Here is a 16,370-nt window from a genome sequence, read left to right as displayed (position 1 = left end):
AATTCACAAATACTTTTCTAAAATTACTTTTGGACTTTTGAAAAACTTATTTACTAAGCTATTACAACTTTTTATATCATACCTGATTCAGTGGCATTATAGATTACCTTGAATCATTTACTACTTTCTTTGATTTTTAGCTATACAGCTGAACTAAATTTTAAATGTATGAGCTGCTCAATACTCCTTAGTCAAGTGCTATAGTACTGTATCCTTGTCATAAACTATGCAAAAACATTCTTATTGAATAAGCTTCAGTGAATTAATACTGTTTTAGTGTACTTATTTTTAAAGTTTAGAGACGTGTAAAAAAGGGAGATCATGAGGATGAAATGTTTACTGATTTTTTGGGGGGAAATGTTATTAAATTTTATCTAAATTGCTATTTCTTTCTAAAAACATTTTTTAACCTAAATGATAATATCTTTTGAGATTGAGCAGGTATACACTTGAACATCCTTTGAAACCAATCTTAGATTAGCTATATATCAAGTAAAGTAGCTATATACTAATAGGCTGGCATATACGTAAGAGGGAAGGTTTTGTTCTCTTTCCAGGGAATTCTTGTTTGCTTCATAGCATCAGCTGTCTAGAATTCTAGAATTTACTTTTTTTTTTAATAAATAATAATAGATTTTTTTAAAAAGATTTAAAGCCACTGAAAATTATCTTGGAAATAGTTGATTTTATAGTATTCCAGTGCTGTCACAATGTAATACTGAAAACTAAAAGTTTTCATTTTGTTCATTACAATTTTTTGATCCTCAAATATGGTACAATATAGATAAATAATTGTTGTCATATTTTCGAGAGTTCAGAAAAGACATATACATTAGCAGTTTGTGAAGCTATTTTTGTACTGATAAATTTTAATAACAGTTTGATTACCTTGATAGAAAATGGGCTCTTTTAAACACTGGTTATATTTAGATTCTTCTAATGTTTAGATAACGTGTTCTCATGGTGCTTCTAGAATTTATGTATTTTTGGGGATATTGCATGTACCTTCTATTCTGTTAAAGAGATTGTTTTCTGCCACATTATGTGTTTCCAACAGATAATCATTAAAGGATGTATGCAGAAATATTATTTTCTAGCATATTAGTCTTGCTTTATATCAGTATAACTACAGTTTTATCACAATGTATGACATCTGTATGGGTTTACTCCATCTGTATTTATCATCAAAGTTTTAGAAACACTCTAAAACTATGACTAGGAATTTTTGTGCAATTTCAAAAACTAAATTTCACTGGAAATTTTACATAGCATTTTAACTAAATGCTGCTTAAATACAAAAACACCAAAATAAATACAAAATTTTTATATTTAACAGAATAAATGCAAACTAAAATACAAAAGGAAGTGCTTAATCTTTTTTGTTTGTTTGTTTTTCTTGAGATGGAGTCTCACTCTGTTGCCCAGGCTGGAGTGCAGTGGTGCGATCTCAGCTCACTGCGACCTCCACCTCCCGGGTTCAAGCCATTCTCCTGTCTCAGCCTCCCAGGTAGCTGGGATTACAGGCTTACATCACCACGACTGGCTAATTTTTGTATTTTTAGTAGAGACAGGATTTCAGCATGTAAGCCAGGCTGGTGACTGAGGTCGAACTCCTGACCTCAAATTATCCACCTGCCTCGGCCCCCCAAAGGAGATGACAGGTGTGAGCCACCACGCCCAGCCCTGATCTTAAATATAGTTTGGATTTACTGTACTTTTAAGATGATAAAAACAGGAAAAAAGTGAATGGCTGTTAAGAGCTCTCAGGTACTATATTCTCCACACTGTGACATGTTTCCCTTTTTAATGGGTGGTAAGCAAATCTTAGATTATAGTAATAAACTAGAATAGAAATAATTTCTGGGAATAACTTTTGTTTGGATGAGACTGTGGACTGTATGTAAAGCTGGGACTTGGTTTCACAAGAAGTGACTTTATCATTGATATAATTGTAGGTGAAAAATTTAAGTTGTAGGATTCTCTTTAATAATTGACTTAAATATCATTATTCCTCCACTATCAAACCTCAAAAACTAGATTAAGTTTTTCTAGATTAATTTGAAGGCAAGGAATATTTGTGAGAGATCATAACTTAACAATTTAGAGATGTCAGAATTTTTTTACTATAATTGTGAACAATAGTATTTTACAAGAAGTACGGTAGTAATTTGGTCATGTACATTGTTCTGCATTCTCTGGAAACTGAGAAGCAGTTTATATATTTTAAAATAAGATGAAATAAATATAATTTAGTGACTAAGAGTGTTTATTAGCTTTCTGAATAGATACATTTACATTTTCATGTCTTGATTTTTTTTAAGAACTGACCTTCATTCTCTAAAGATTTTGAGGAAAGTGTTAAAATTTGCTAAACCATTTTGTCAAGCACTATCACTTGGTAAAGATTATTCACAAGAAAAAAACTATTCTTTATGTGAGATAAAGACATTACTAACCCACCTCCAATGGCGATTAGACCCTTCCTCTTCTCTACCTCTGCCTTACTGTTACAATTAATGGGAAAGAATTGTTCATCAATCCATTCCTAGTGATTCTCAGTTTCTCTTTTCAAGAAGACTAGCTGGAATTACAGGTGTGGTCATTTGCCATGGAACAGATTGATCCTAGATTAATTATGATCTCTTTCTTGTGGAGGGCTTTAAAAAATTCCTTTTTCCCCTCCATTTCTGTTCTTAGCCTGCTACATGGGGATTTCATTGGAAGGGAGGTAGGTGATACGGACAGTTTTGCTCTAGGACGTAGAGAAGAATGTTTTTTTCCTTTGGATTTGGCCATCTTTCCTCTTACCCAAATAGTTAGGGCCAAGATCAAGGTGTAAACCTAGGCAGAGGCCAGGCAAGCCACAAAATGTGTGACATTTGTGATATATGTGACAGTAAATAGTGGTAAGGCCTTTGGTAAAATGGAGTGTGCAGGGTTCACCTAAACATATTAAAGCTGTTTAAAATGAAGCCAAAAGAGGTTGGAGACTAGGTAACCCACATAGTTTCTAGTCTACATCTTTAAAAGAAATCTCTGTAAAGATTGGATCCAGTTCTTGCTTCATGGGGATAATACATAAGATTCATACTTCATGTGGAAATAAGGTCACAATCACTGATATTGAAAGTGGTCATTCTCCAGGGACTGCCTTCCTTGTAGAATGTGTCAAATGTAGATATGACTGAACAGTTTAAATAAATGTACATTGTACTTTTGTTTTCTGTCTGCCATTTTCCATTTAGAGTTTAGCTTGGCCGTATATTCACTGTTGACAAAATTGTTAATTTTGGGGACCTTGTTTTATTATATCTCAGCTTTATTGAGATATAATTCAAATACTAAATAACAACTACCTCAGGTATACAATTCAGTGGTTTTTAGTATATTCACAGAGTTGTATAACCATCACCACAGTGAATTTTAGAACATTTTCGTTACTCCCCACCCCCAAAAAACCCTGTACTCATTAGTAGTCATTCTCCCTATACACCCACACTCTCCCTCCACCTACCCTAGGCAACCACTAATCAACTTTCTGTCTTTATAGATTTGCCTATTCTGAACGTTGCGTATAAATGGAATCATAATATGTGGCCTTTGTGACTGGCTCCTTTCACTTAGCATGTGTTGTTTGTTTGTTTGTTTTGAGTCTTGCTCTGTCACCCAGGCTGGAGTGCAGTGGTGCAATCTTGGCTCACTGCAACCTCCATTTCCCAGGTTCAAGCAATTCTCCTTCCTCAGCCTCCCAAGTAGCTGGGATTACAGGAGCACACCACTATGCCGGCTAATATTTTTTGTAGAGATGGGCTTTCACCATTTTGGCAGGCTGGTCTCGAACTCCTGACCTCAAGTGATCCGCCCACCTTGGCTTCCCAAAGTGCTGGGATTACAGGTGTGAGCCACTGCGCCAGGCCAGCATGTGTTTTTAAGGTTGATCCATGTTATAGAATGTATCAGTATGTCATTTCCTTTTCTTGTCTGATATTCTTGCTCTATGAATATACCATGTTTTATTTATTTTTTTTTTATTTTTATTTTTTTGAGACAGAGTCTTGCTCTGTTGCCAGGCTGGATCTCAGCTCATTGCAACCTCCGCCTCCTGGGTTCAAGCAATTCTCCTGCCTCAGCTTCCCGAGTAGCTGGGACTACAGGCGTGCGCCACCATGCTCAGCTAATTTTTGTATTTTTAGTAGAAACGGGGTTTCACCATGTTGGCCAGGATGGTCTCGATCTCTTGACCTCGTGATCCACCCGCCTCGGCCTCCCAAAGTGCTAGGATTACAGGCGTGAGCCACCACGCCCGGCACCATGTTTTATTTATCCATCCATCAGTTGATAGACATTTTGGTTGCTTCCACTTTTTGAAAGTTCCAATATTATGAATAATGCTGTTATAAACATTTGTGTATGAGTTTTTGTGCAGATGTATGTTTTCAATTCTCTTGAGTATATACCTAGTAGTAGAATCACTAGGTTATGTGGTAATTCTATGTTTAGCCTTTGGAGGAACTGCAAAGCAGCTGTGCCATTTTGCATTCCCACTAGCAGATATATAAGGGTTCTGATTTCTCCATGTCATCAGCACTTGTTATTGTCTGTCTTTTTTATTATAGCCATCCTGGTTTAAGTGTGAAGTGGTATCTCATTGTGGCTTTCATTTGTATTTCATTGATGGCTAATGATATTGAGCATGTTCCCATGGGCCTTATTAGTGACTTGTGGGTATTCTTTGGAAAAATGGCTGTTCAGATCCTTTGCTCATTTTTAATTAGACTGTTTGTCTCTTTGTTGTTGAGTTGTAGTTCTTTATAATTTCTAGTTATTAACCTCCTACCAGATAATTGATTTTTAAATATTTTCTTCAGTTCTATTAGTTGTGTTTTCACTATTTTTTTTTCTTGGTGCTTTGCAGCACAAATGTTTTAATTTTTTTTTTTTTTTGAGAAGAGTCTTGCTCTGTCCCCCAGGCTGGAGTGCAGTGGCTCAATCTCGGCTCACTGCAAGCTCTGCGGCCTGGGTTCATGCCATTCCCCTGCCTCAGCCTCCCGAGTAGCTGGGACTACAGGCGCCCGCCGCCATGCCTAGCTAATTTTTTAAATTTTTAGTAGAGACGGGGTTTCACCGTGTTAGCCAGGATGGTTTTGATCTCCTGACCTCGTGATCCACCTGCCTCTTCCTCCCAAAGTGCTGGGATTACAGGCGTGAGCCACCACGCCCAGCCAATGTTTTAAATTTTTAAATAAGTCTAATTCATTTTTTTCTTTCTTGCACTTTTGGTATCATATCTAAGAAATCACTGCCTAAACTAAGGCTACAGTGATTAACACATGTTTTCTTCTGAGAGTTTTATAGTTTTGGCTCTTAGATTTAGGTCTTTGGTCCATTGATTTTTATATATGATGTGAGATAGAGGTCCACATCTATCCAGTTGTTCCAGCACCATTTGTTGAAAAGACTGCTTTTTATACACTGAACCTTGGCACCCTTGTCAAAAATCAGCTGATGGTAAATATGAGGGTTTATTTCTGGAGTCTTAATTATGTCCCATTGGTCTCAATGTTTATGCCAGTACTGCACTTTCTTTTTTTCAGACAGAGTCTTGCTTTGTCACCCAAACTGGAGTGCAGTGGGGCCGTCTTGGCTCACTGCAACCTCTGCCTCCTGGGTTCAAGCGATTTTCATGCCTCAAAGTGATTCTCATGTCTCAGCCTCCCGAGTAGCTGGGATTATAGGCATGCGCCACCACCCCCAGCTAATTTTTGTATTTTTAGTAGAGACGGGATTTCACCATGTTGGCCAGGCCAGTCTTGAACTCCTGACCTCAAGTGATCCTCCCGCCTTGGCTTCCCAAATTACAGGTGTGAGCCACTGTGCCCGGCCTACGCTGTCTTAATTAATGTATCTTTGTAGTTAAGTTTGAAATTGGGAAGTATGATCCCTTCGGTATTATTTTCAAGATTGTTTTGACTCCTCAGTACCTAGAATTTCCCTATGAATTTTAGTGCCTAGAAATTGTATATGAATTTCCTTGTGTGTTTCTTCAATGAAACCAGTTGGGATTCTGATAAGGATTGTATTGTATTGAATATGTAGATCAGTTTGGAGCTCACGGCCAAAATGTTCCTCTTAATGTTAACTTTTGTGATCTATGAACTTGAGCTGTTTTCCCATTTATTTGGAGCTTCTTTAATTAATTTCAGTGATGTTGTTTGGTTTTCAGAGTATAGATTTTCTTCTTTTGTTAAATGTATTCAGATTTTATTCTTTTTGGTGCTATTATAAATGAAATTGTTTTGTTAATTTCACTTTTGAATTGTTCATTGTTAGTATATGGAAGGATGATTGTTGTGTAGTGATCTTGTATCCTACAAACTTACTGAACTCATTTATTAGTCTTAATCATTTTTTAGTGGGTTCCTTAGGATTTTCTATATATAAAATTATATCATCTGTAAATAAAGATAGTTTACTTCCTCCTTTCCTATCAGGATATCTTTTCTTTTTTTTAAACTCATTGCTCTAGCTAGAACCTGTAGTACAGTGTTGAATAGAAGTGACAGGAGTGGACATCTTCTTAATCTTGTTCCTGATAGAAGGAAAGCGTTGAGTCGTTTACCATTAAATATGATGTTAGCTGTATGTTTTTCATAGATGCTCTTTATCAGGGTGAGGAAGTTCCCCTATATTCCTAGTTTTTCAGTGTTTGTTTTTTTCTATTAATGTTTGTTCCTATTGATTAATGATTTCCTCTTATACCCTCAGAACTTGATGGCTTTAGGAATTTATTCATTGACAAATAGAGCAATATGCTTTCTTATGTTTATTTCTTAAAAGCTAATTGATGGTTTATTTTAAAGGAAAAATGAACTGGACTAAAGAGGAAGAATTCTTACTAAAATATCACTGTTTTTAAGAGCTCTTCACTGAGTATCAGTTTTCCTATGTAAAAATATGAAACCTTCCTGTCTTCTAGCATTTTCTCTCTCCAAAATAGGTGAGGTAGCTCTTATAGAGAGGGAATGGGGGTACATTTGCTGTCTGATTTTTAAAGAGGTTTAGTTGATTTTTTTCCTTTAATTTGTTTCTAATTGAAAGAAAATAATATAAAAAAACCTTGAAGGAAGGAAAGGAAGGAAGGAAGGAAAAGAAGGAAGGAAGGAAAGGAAGGAAGGAAGGAAATGAAGGAAAGGAAGGAAGGAAGGGAAGGAAAGGAAGGAAGGAAAGGAAGGAAGGGAAGGAAGGAAGGGAAGGAAAGGAAGGAAGGAAAGGAAGGAAGGGAAGGAAGGAAGGGAAGGAAAGGAAGGAAGGAAGGTAGGAAGGAAAGGAAGGAAGGAAAGGAAGGAAGGAAGGTTGTAAACATACCATGGCCAACATGGCAAAACCCCGTCTCTACCAAAAATACAAAAATTATCTGAGTGTGGTAGTGCACGCCTGTAATCCCAGCTACTCAAGTGGCTGAGGCATGAGAATCGCTTGAACCTGGGAGGCGAAAATTGTGGTGAGCTAAGATCGTGCCACTGTACTCCAGCCTGGGTGACAGAGCGAGACTCTGCCCCAAAAACAACCAAAAAACAAACAAATACAAAAAAAAACTGGATAAATTATAGGATTATTCCAATGAATATAAAGCATGTTCTTATTAAATACGAATAAAAATACACATTCTAAAAATTATTCATTTCAAATAACTCTGATTTCTAGTGTAATTATTACTCTAGAAAAAGACTTAGCTTGTGTTTTTCCTTATTGCATTATATAAATGTCGGCTGATGATTATTTTAAAGGACCAATTATATGGTCAATACTTGTTTTACATAGACAGTGTTCTACCTAGTTTTTATTATAGAAGATTTGTTTTTCTGGATACATGTAGTTTTGAGTATTCAGCATACTTGTATATTAACCTTCAAGCAGTATATCAATGCCATAATTATGTCAAAGGACATTTTAAAGGCTGCTGTATGTACAAAGTGCAGAATTAAGTCACTAAATTAACCCAATTTTTTTTTAATTTTTATTTTTATGGATACATTATAGTTGTACATATTTATTGGGGTACATGTGATATTTTGATACAAACATACAATGTTTACCAATCAAATCTGGGTAGTCAAATATCTGTTACCTCAAACATTTATCATTTCTTTGTGCTAGGAACATTCCCCATATATTCTAGTCTAGTCATTTTGAGATAATATAATAAATTATTGTTAACTATAGTTGCCTTACTGTGCTACCAAACTCTAGATCTTACTTCTTCTATCTAACTATTTTTATTCCCATTAACCAACCCCTTTTTATCTCCCACTCCCCACTACCCTTCCCAACTTCTGGTAGCCATTCTATTCTCTACCTCCATGGCATCAATTTTTTTAGCTTCTACATATGAATAAGAATATGCAACATTTGTCTTTCTGCGCATGGCTTATTTTATTTAACATAATGTTCTCTAGTTCCATTCATGTTGTTGCAAATGACAGGATCTCATTCATTTTTATGGCAGAATCGTACTCCATTGTGTATATGTAACACATATAGTACCACATATACACAGTGTGGTACTATTTGTAGATATCCATTCATTGGTGGACACTTAGGTTGATTCTATGTCTTGACTGTTATGAATAGTGCTGCAGTAAACATGGGATTGCGGATATCTTTTTGATATACTGATTTCCTTTCTTTTAGATATCCCAGCAGTGGGATTGCTGGATCATATGGTAGTTCTATTTTTAGTCTTTTAAGGAACATCCACAGTTCTTCATAGTGGCTGTACTAATATACCTTTCCCACCAACAGGGTGCAAACTTTCCACTTTCTATCCTCACCAGCATTTGCTATTTTCTGCCCCTTTGATAATAAATCCAAATCTTTCAAGTCTCATTTACCTGACACACTAAAGGGTTTTTTTTTTTTTCAATTTTCATCAATTAAGGTTTTCCATGACATTTAATGTGACATAGTTAATGGAGAAAGGTTCCCTTCATAGCTGCATCGGTGTCTGTAACATAAGGCTATTGGAACTTTATATTAGCAAAAGTGTTTTCAGAAAGCATATTTGGTCTTATGGCTTACTTGCTTTTTCTAATTAGATCATTTTAGGGTGTGCTTTACTCACAATCTAAGTTACTATTAAAGAGACCACCTAAGGTCTCTTTGGCTCTACGAAATAATAGATTTTTTTTTTCTCTAGAGTTACAGAGAATGGATACTAGTAATTTGTTAAGTTATGTGAAGAACCATGTCATGGAATGTTACCTGAGTCCAAGAACACTGCTACTATTAGTAGTTATATCTTTTCACCTTTTTAAAACAGATAAACTGTTCTGTCATTATTACGTATAGTCAGAAAGTCTTAGGTTCCATAGCGAGGAAGGAAGCTGATCTTTAGCTGTACTTTATCTTCGAAGTCTCGCAACCCATGTGATCTACTAGATGTTCAGCCTTGAACTAATACTAGACATATTATCACATCTGGGTTTTTTGCAGAGAGAGAATTATCTTGAACAGTAAGTAATAAAGAAAAAGCATAACACACCTAAATAGTTTCTCCTCCCTTTCCCCTGTTACCACTTTTTAAAAATTTTCTGCTTGAACATTTTGCCTTTTTATGGAAAAGCTGGACTCTTTATTCTCTTACATCCTGATATCTACTGGATATATTTTTGAGAGACAGAAAAGATCAGTTCTCCAAGTTAGATTTTTTTTTTTTCCTACTCCGGAGACAGCCAGTTTCCCTTGGTGGATGATTTCTCTGATCATCTTTAGTTTTGGAACTTAGTGGAGTCACCATTTCTTGTGGAAGAAGAGGATCTACAATTTTTCCTAATTGACAAGATGCAAATAGTCCCTGACTGAGAGAAACTAACATGGAAGAAACATGAAAATTTAAAAAGACCCAATCATCACAGCTTTAACATGGAAGAGTCAAAAGAAGTAGTATCTTTAAAGAAGACACTTAACTGCTTGGATTCCTGTGTATGCCTAGATAGCATTTAAGCTATCTCCATGTAGAGGAAGAAGAGAATGACTTGGCGTGGCATCCCGTGTTTTGTTTCTTTGGCAAAATGCCATTATACTTGCTCTGCTAATTTTTGGAAGATTTAAAAGCCTTTGATGGAGAAAGATTTCTGTTGGTTGAAAATCAAAATAGCTGTTATTTCTGATAAATATAGTCAAAAATAAGCAACCTGATCTTCCTGGACTTCTTTGTAGAACTGACTCATAGATGCCATTTCTTTTTAAGATTTAAAAATATAGCCAGTTTTCTACATGTAACCAGATACTAATATTTTGATCAATTTGGTTTGTTGTCATATGAGAACACTTACCTCCCTACCTCACAGGGATGTTGTGAGGCAAATTTTAAATGTTCCTAAGAAAAGTTTAGAAATAATAACTCTTGTGGGTAGTTTCTATAATCATAAGTTTTTGTTTATTTTAGAATTTACAAATGCTTTCCCATAGTTATGAATAGACATTAGGTAACATTTTTAAATGGAAGATAATGCAGTTGTACTTGATTTATCGATGCATATCCTTGTATAAAGAATAATTTGCATGGAATGTTGCATTTTTTTTAACCAAGAGCTTTTATACAATTAAAGAAAAGCTAAAGTAAAAATGTCTGGTTTCCCCCTTTATTTAGTTGAGATTTAATTATTCATACCTCTTCTGGAATCTAACACCAATAAGTTATTTTTTGATTAAAATATTTAGAGAAAGGGTACTTCCTCCCCAAAATATGATACTAATACAAGATGTGTGCTCTTCTATTATAGAAAGCAAATATTAAAGTTGGTGAAAACGTACTTTAGAAATAAGGAAGAAATATAACAGAATTAGTCATTACCTTAACAGTATTGCTTTTCTGGTATTTAAAACTTAGAAGGGCTTCTTGTACCAGTTCCCATTTTATTATGGGACTAGTTTATAGAATGTGTTCTGAACCTAATAAAATTCAAGAGAAAATAATTTCCTGGGAGAAAATGTGAATAATACAATGGTCTGTCATTGTTGTCATGTTGGTCTCTAAAAATATGACATTCCTACCATCATCTCTGTCTCAAAAATGAAGGGATTGCACTTAGGTTCTTCTAGCTGTGCCACTAGTCGTGTTCACAGTCTTAGACAAAAGACTTTATCTCTTTGAGCTACAGTTTCCTCATATATTAAGTAAAAGGGGTGGTCAGGTGGGTAATGATTTCTGAATCTCCTTATCCTGATTATCTTAAAGTGATCCTGCCTTTAGTCTAGGAAATTAATAAGATGTCCACCTACGGCCTTCCATGGCTGAGCATGAGACTTAGTACTGCCTTTATAATCATTAAAACACCGATAATGTTATTGTGCTATATAAAAGAACCCATTACATAAGGCAGATTAGCCATTTCTGTCTTTAAATAGAACATTAGAAAAAAAGTAGTGTCCTATGCTTTTGCATTATGCACACACATAATTAAAATTACTGAAATTCCTTCCAGATGGCACCATGGATTAAAAATGTGTGATCCATCAGTTACAACTTTTCAACAATAATGTAAAATTAGCACAAGAGACCGCATAGCTTCATAGTATCCTGAAATAGATTATTATAATGGGATAAATTTCTGAACTACAATGCTAATAGCTAGGCTTATAGATTCAAACTTATAGATTGAATTAAATCTTCTATACTTGGGGATGGATTTTAGCAGTATTAAATCATAACCAGCAAAAAGAAACCAGAATGCAACTTGTGCTGTCTAGTGGCTCTCTTTGAAACACAGTGTTGATCAATGGAAAATAGTGAAGTCAATTATGCCATTTTTGGGAAAGCAAGATGTAAGCATTTAATAACTTTTACATACTGCTATACTTGGAAATATTGTAGACATTTAGTGCTTCAAGTAGTGTTGTTTGATATCTCACCTGTGAATCATACCTTACAGTCCTTGATGTAAGTTCTAGACTAACTTAAAGTGTTATACCCAAAAGGACCAGGGAAGACTATCACTTGTTTTTAATTCAGTGAAGTTAGTGATAACAAATGAGAGAAAGGTCATCTTTGTTGTTCTTCATGTTTCTTCCTTAAGAGATCATCTTGTCTCCACTCCCACTGTTTTACTTGACTAGCCAAAAAAAAAAAAAAAAAAAGAGATCATCTTTTAAGAGTCCATTTATTCAGCAATATTAGTATAAAACTTTAAATGCTAGGTAGTGAACACTATCCTTAGTACTTCCAAAAATTAGATGGTATAGTGTATAGAAGTCTATTCATTAAAGGGCCTACTTGGGTTTATATTTAATCCTGTGTTTTCATAATTTTTATTTTTTATAGTTTTATCTCTACTGTTTTTTTCTTTTTTTTTTGACAATTGTCTCATGAGAAGTAGAATGGATACAATTTCTGCTTTTTCAGGAAGAAAAATCCAAAGCATATGGTCAGGGAATTTTTCTAAAATCTATAGATAGGTACCAGAATTAGAACTTTAATCCCTTGCTTCTGTACTTCAGTCTTTCCTTAACCTGTCTTGAAGAAATTTTAAGTCACCATATGGAGACCAAATATAAAAAAGATGATAATTAACAATATTGATTCACTATTTGATGCAAAAATAAGTTATGAATCTTTAAAATGTGTAGTTGAAATTCAATGAGTATTGAGTCTGTAGGCATTTAATTTATTTAAGAAAATAACTGTGTATTTCAGTTAAGTCAGCACAGTCATGTTGATTTTTTTTTTTTTAATTTTTTTGAGATGGAGCCTCCCTCTGTCACCCAGGCTGGAGTGCAGTGGCACGATCTTGGCTCACTGCAACCTCTGTCTCCCGTGTTCAAGTGATTCTCCCACCTCAGCCTCCTGAGTAACTGGGATTAAAGACGTGCACCACCATGCCTAGCTAATTTTTGTATGTTTCTTAGAGATAGGGTTTCACCATGTTGGTCAGGCTGGTCTCGAACTCCTGACCTCAAATGATTCACCCTCCTTGGCCTCCCAAAGTGCTGGGATTAGAGGTGTGAGCCACTGCATCCGGCCTATGTTGATTTTTATAACTATTTACATTGAAAAGTATTGGCCAGGCCCGATGGTTCATGCCTGTAATTCAGTGCTATGGGAGCCTGAGCCAGGCTGATCACCTGAGGTCAGGAGTTTGAGACCAGTGTGGCCAACATGGAGAAACACCGTGTCTACTAAAAAATACAAAAAAATTAGCTGGGCATGGTGGCGGGTGCCTGTAATCCCAGCTACTCGGGAGGCTGAGGCAGGAGAATCACTTGAACCCGGAGATGGAGGTTGCAGTGAGCCAAGATTGCGCCATTGCACTCCAGCCTGGGCGACAAGAGCAAGGCCCCTTCTCAAAAAAAAAAAAAGAAAAATAACAGGGTTTAGTGTGTGTGTGTGTGCTCATAGTATTCTTGATTATGTAACTGGTAGTTTATATTTACAAAGCAAAAGTATTAGAGAATCTTAGATTAAGGTAATTTACATGATTATAGGCCATAGTAAACTTTCCTTATATGTTATATTATTTCTTTGCTCTTTTGTCTATTGATTTAGTAGTATAGCTAAGAATCCAGTCTGCATGTTTACCAAGTAGCTGGCTAAAGCTTTCAGTTCCACTGAGAGTTAAGCTTATGTTTCTGAAACCAGCATAACATAACTAAACATTTGGAACACTTGTTCTACAAGTTTTCGGATTTGAATGTAAGGGTATCTCAACCTTACAGCATCTGGGGGCACTTTGTAACAAAAGTCATTTCTTGGAAGTAGAAAGTTGAAACTTGTAACATAGCTTCAAAGGTATTCTGCAAAATATTGCCCTAATAGTTCAAAAATAGTTTCTAAATTTTATTTGAAAATAAAGAGCTCAAAAGTAGTTCTATTGTAAACCAGTGACTGAAACATATCAAGAGTCTGGGAGTACCTGGAAAGCACAGTTATCTTTGTGGAGTATTTTGTAGGCATGTTGTATACATATATAATCATATGAATTAGAAATCATTTAACTAGCAAGTTATGCATCTAAAATCACCATGAGCACACACATGTAAGCAGTTAGTGTCCAGACTGAGCATGAGCAACTCTTTGGCATAGGTCCATTTTAATACTACTTAGTTCAAAATCATGTATGGAGCATGTCTTTGTGCCAGGTGAAAGGTGAATAAGATTGCCTTCGAGGAGCTTCATGAGACAGCAGAATATATAACCAGTATGGATGATGTGGAGGTAGTGATCCATGGGGTGCTCTGGAAACTCTAAGAACAGTCCCCAAGCTCTCTCCATGATTACTCCAACATTCTCTGATGTGATACTTCCTTTACAGTTTTAACAAATATTTGAGTGCCAGGCAAACATTAGTGAACAGGTAAACAGTCTCTGTTCTTATAGTGTTTAAACTTCAGTGGGGGAATAAGAGAAATAATTGCATAACTATATAATTACTGTTATGGAAAGTGCCACAAAAGAAGAGATCAAAGTGAGGGAAGAGGGCAGGCGGTGGTATGGCTGGATCATGAAAGTAGGCTCCTTGTGGAGTCATACATAACTCATCCTTCCAGTGGGTAGAAGTTGGCCTGTGAAGTGGGGAAGGAGCGCTTCTGGCAGAGGGAGGGGCATCTGCTTTGGCCTTTGAAGCAGTTAGGTGTTTTAGTGCCCTCATCTGAGGTCGTGGTAGTGACAACTGGAAAGAATCTATAAAGACTGGGATGGAATAAATGAGAGAATTGTTCACTATTTAGCTTTGAGAGTAAGGAAATAGGAAGAAATAAAGATATTTCTGTTCACTAGCCAATAACATCTGTATCCTCCAAAATATCAGATACATAAAAGACAATAGATGTTGATTTATTACATTTAATACATTGATTGCTTAAGTTCAGAAGTTACACAAACTGATAGCCTATTTAGTTGTACATGACCGTCACAATACTAGCATCACATGTCTAAATAAATTAGAAATGCAAATCGTAATGCAGATAAAAAAAAGAATGCTTCTTTAATCATTTTACATCTTCTCCAAATGAAACCCATGAGTCAAGATATATAAATGCCCAAATTGTATAGAAATTTGTCATATAGTTCTCAGTTGCTAAAAATTTTAAGGAAGAGGTACTTCCGTGTTAAAATCCAGAAGTCATTTAGCACTGTTTGTTAAGATCCTCTGTGAATATCATGTTAAGTAGTATTAGTAAATGGAATCTAGAATAAGTGTTTTTCTTCTTGAATTTATTCACTTTTACAAAAATGCATTTGAAAGAGTGATTACTCTGAAAAGATTAACATTTTTTAGCTTGCATATGAAGTTTGTTGCCACAAGTCATTTTAATATTATTCTTGAAGAATACTCAGCATGGCAGATACGCTTCCAGATCTATATAGAATGTCTCCTAAGGCTTTAGTATGTTTTCTCTAAATAAGTAATAGTTACAGAGATATAATTTAACTGGTTGAAAGATAGGGAAAATACCACTTACCACAAGCTCATAAAACTTTTACGTAAGCAGTTCACTAATATGGGTGACCATAATGTATATGATAAAAGCCCCTCTCAAGCTTGGGAATATGTGGTCATTTGGGATGGTTTTCTGAAAGCTGTTAATAAGCTAAGTAAACCTATAGAAGCACATTTTAGTACTTAGAGTCTAGTTTTAGTAGAATCTGCATTCATCCATAGAAAGCAGTCTAGCAAATGTTAATAGTAAGGCCTGAAGTAGTTCCACAGATATCCATGTTCATATACTATTGTAAAATTATTTACTTTTCATATAAATATAGGCAAAGCATGCAGTCATCCATCTCTACAATGTAAAGTCTTTCAGGTATTAATGATAGATGTCTATTATTTCCATATCCTTAAAAAAAAATATAGACATCCTTTCTATTTTATTTGTCCATCCATATTTGTAACTATTCTGCATTTTGAAATATGTTTTGCAAATTTTGCAATGATATTTAAGGCCCTTGGAATAATAACTTAAATCTGTTTAATCCATACTTTACCAGGCTATTAAATAATTTGATCCCAACTTTTCCTTTTGATTACAGCATATTCTAAACTAGTTTAAAAGTAGTCACCTATTTTTCAGTGATCTCTGTGTGGCATTCTCAACACCCTTATATATAACTGCATATAGCCAATTGTAAATTACCCCTAAGGTAACAGAGCAAAGGAATAGCACATGTGAAAAAAGACATTGTAGTTCAGTTTGAAAAACCTTACGGGTGGGCGTCTTAATATTGCTGTGGTATGGAAGACAAAGTACCCATCCATTACAGCATCTGAATTTAATAGCCTGTGTTAGTTAATTCATACTTAGGTTAAAGGAAGCCCAAGTCACTGGTCCAGATATCATACATGACAATGTCATACAAAGAAAAATTCTTT

At 35.2% G+C, this 16,370-nt stretch overlaps 1 protein-coding gene across 5 annotated transcripts in view; it reads left to right on the top strand.

Moving 5' to 3' along the window:
- HOMER1 (homer scaffold protein 1) overlaps window positions 1-16,370 on the top strand; it is a 141,499-nt gene that overhangs the window by 79,169 nt on the left and 45,960 nt on the right. The window contains exon 6 of one of the 5 annotated variants that reach the window (XM_017010059.3): window positions 9,732-12,720. The exons of the other annotated variants lie outside the window; for them this stretch is intronic. Within the exon in view, the coding sequence (XP_016865548.1) occupies window positions 9,732-9,771 (40 nt within the window). The 3' untranslated portion in view covers window positions 9,772-12,720. Of the gene's footprint in view, window positions 1-9,731; window positions 12,721-16,370 lie in introns of those variants that run through there. 5 annotated transcript variants of the gene reach the window in all.

Source organism: Homo sapiens, chromosome 5 (genome assembly GCF_000001405.40).
Source record: "Homo sapiens chromosome 5, GRCh38.p14 Primary Assembly".
In the NCBI taxonomy this organism is placed as follows: Eukaryota; Metazoa; Chordata; class Mammalia; order Primates; family Hominidae; genus Homo; species Homo sapiens.
Note: the sequence above shows the minus strand (reverse complement) of the source record. Positions and strands in the feature narration are given on the sequence as shown.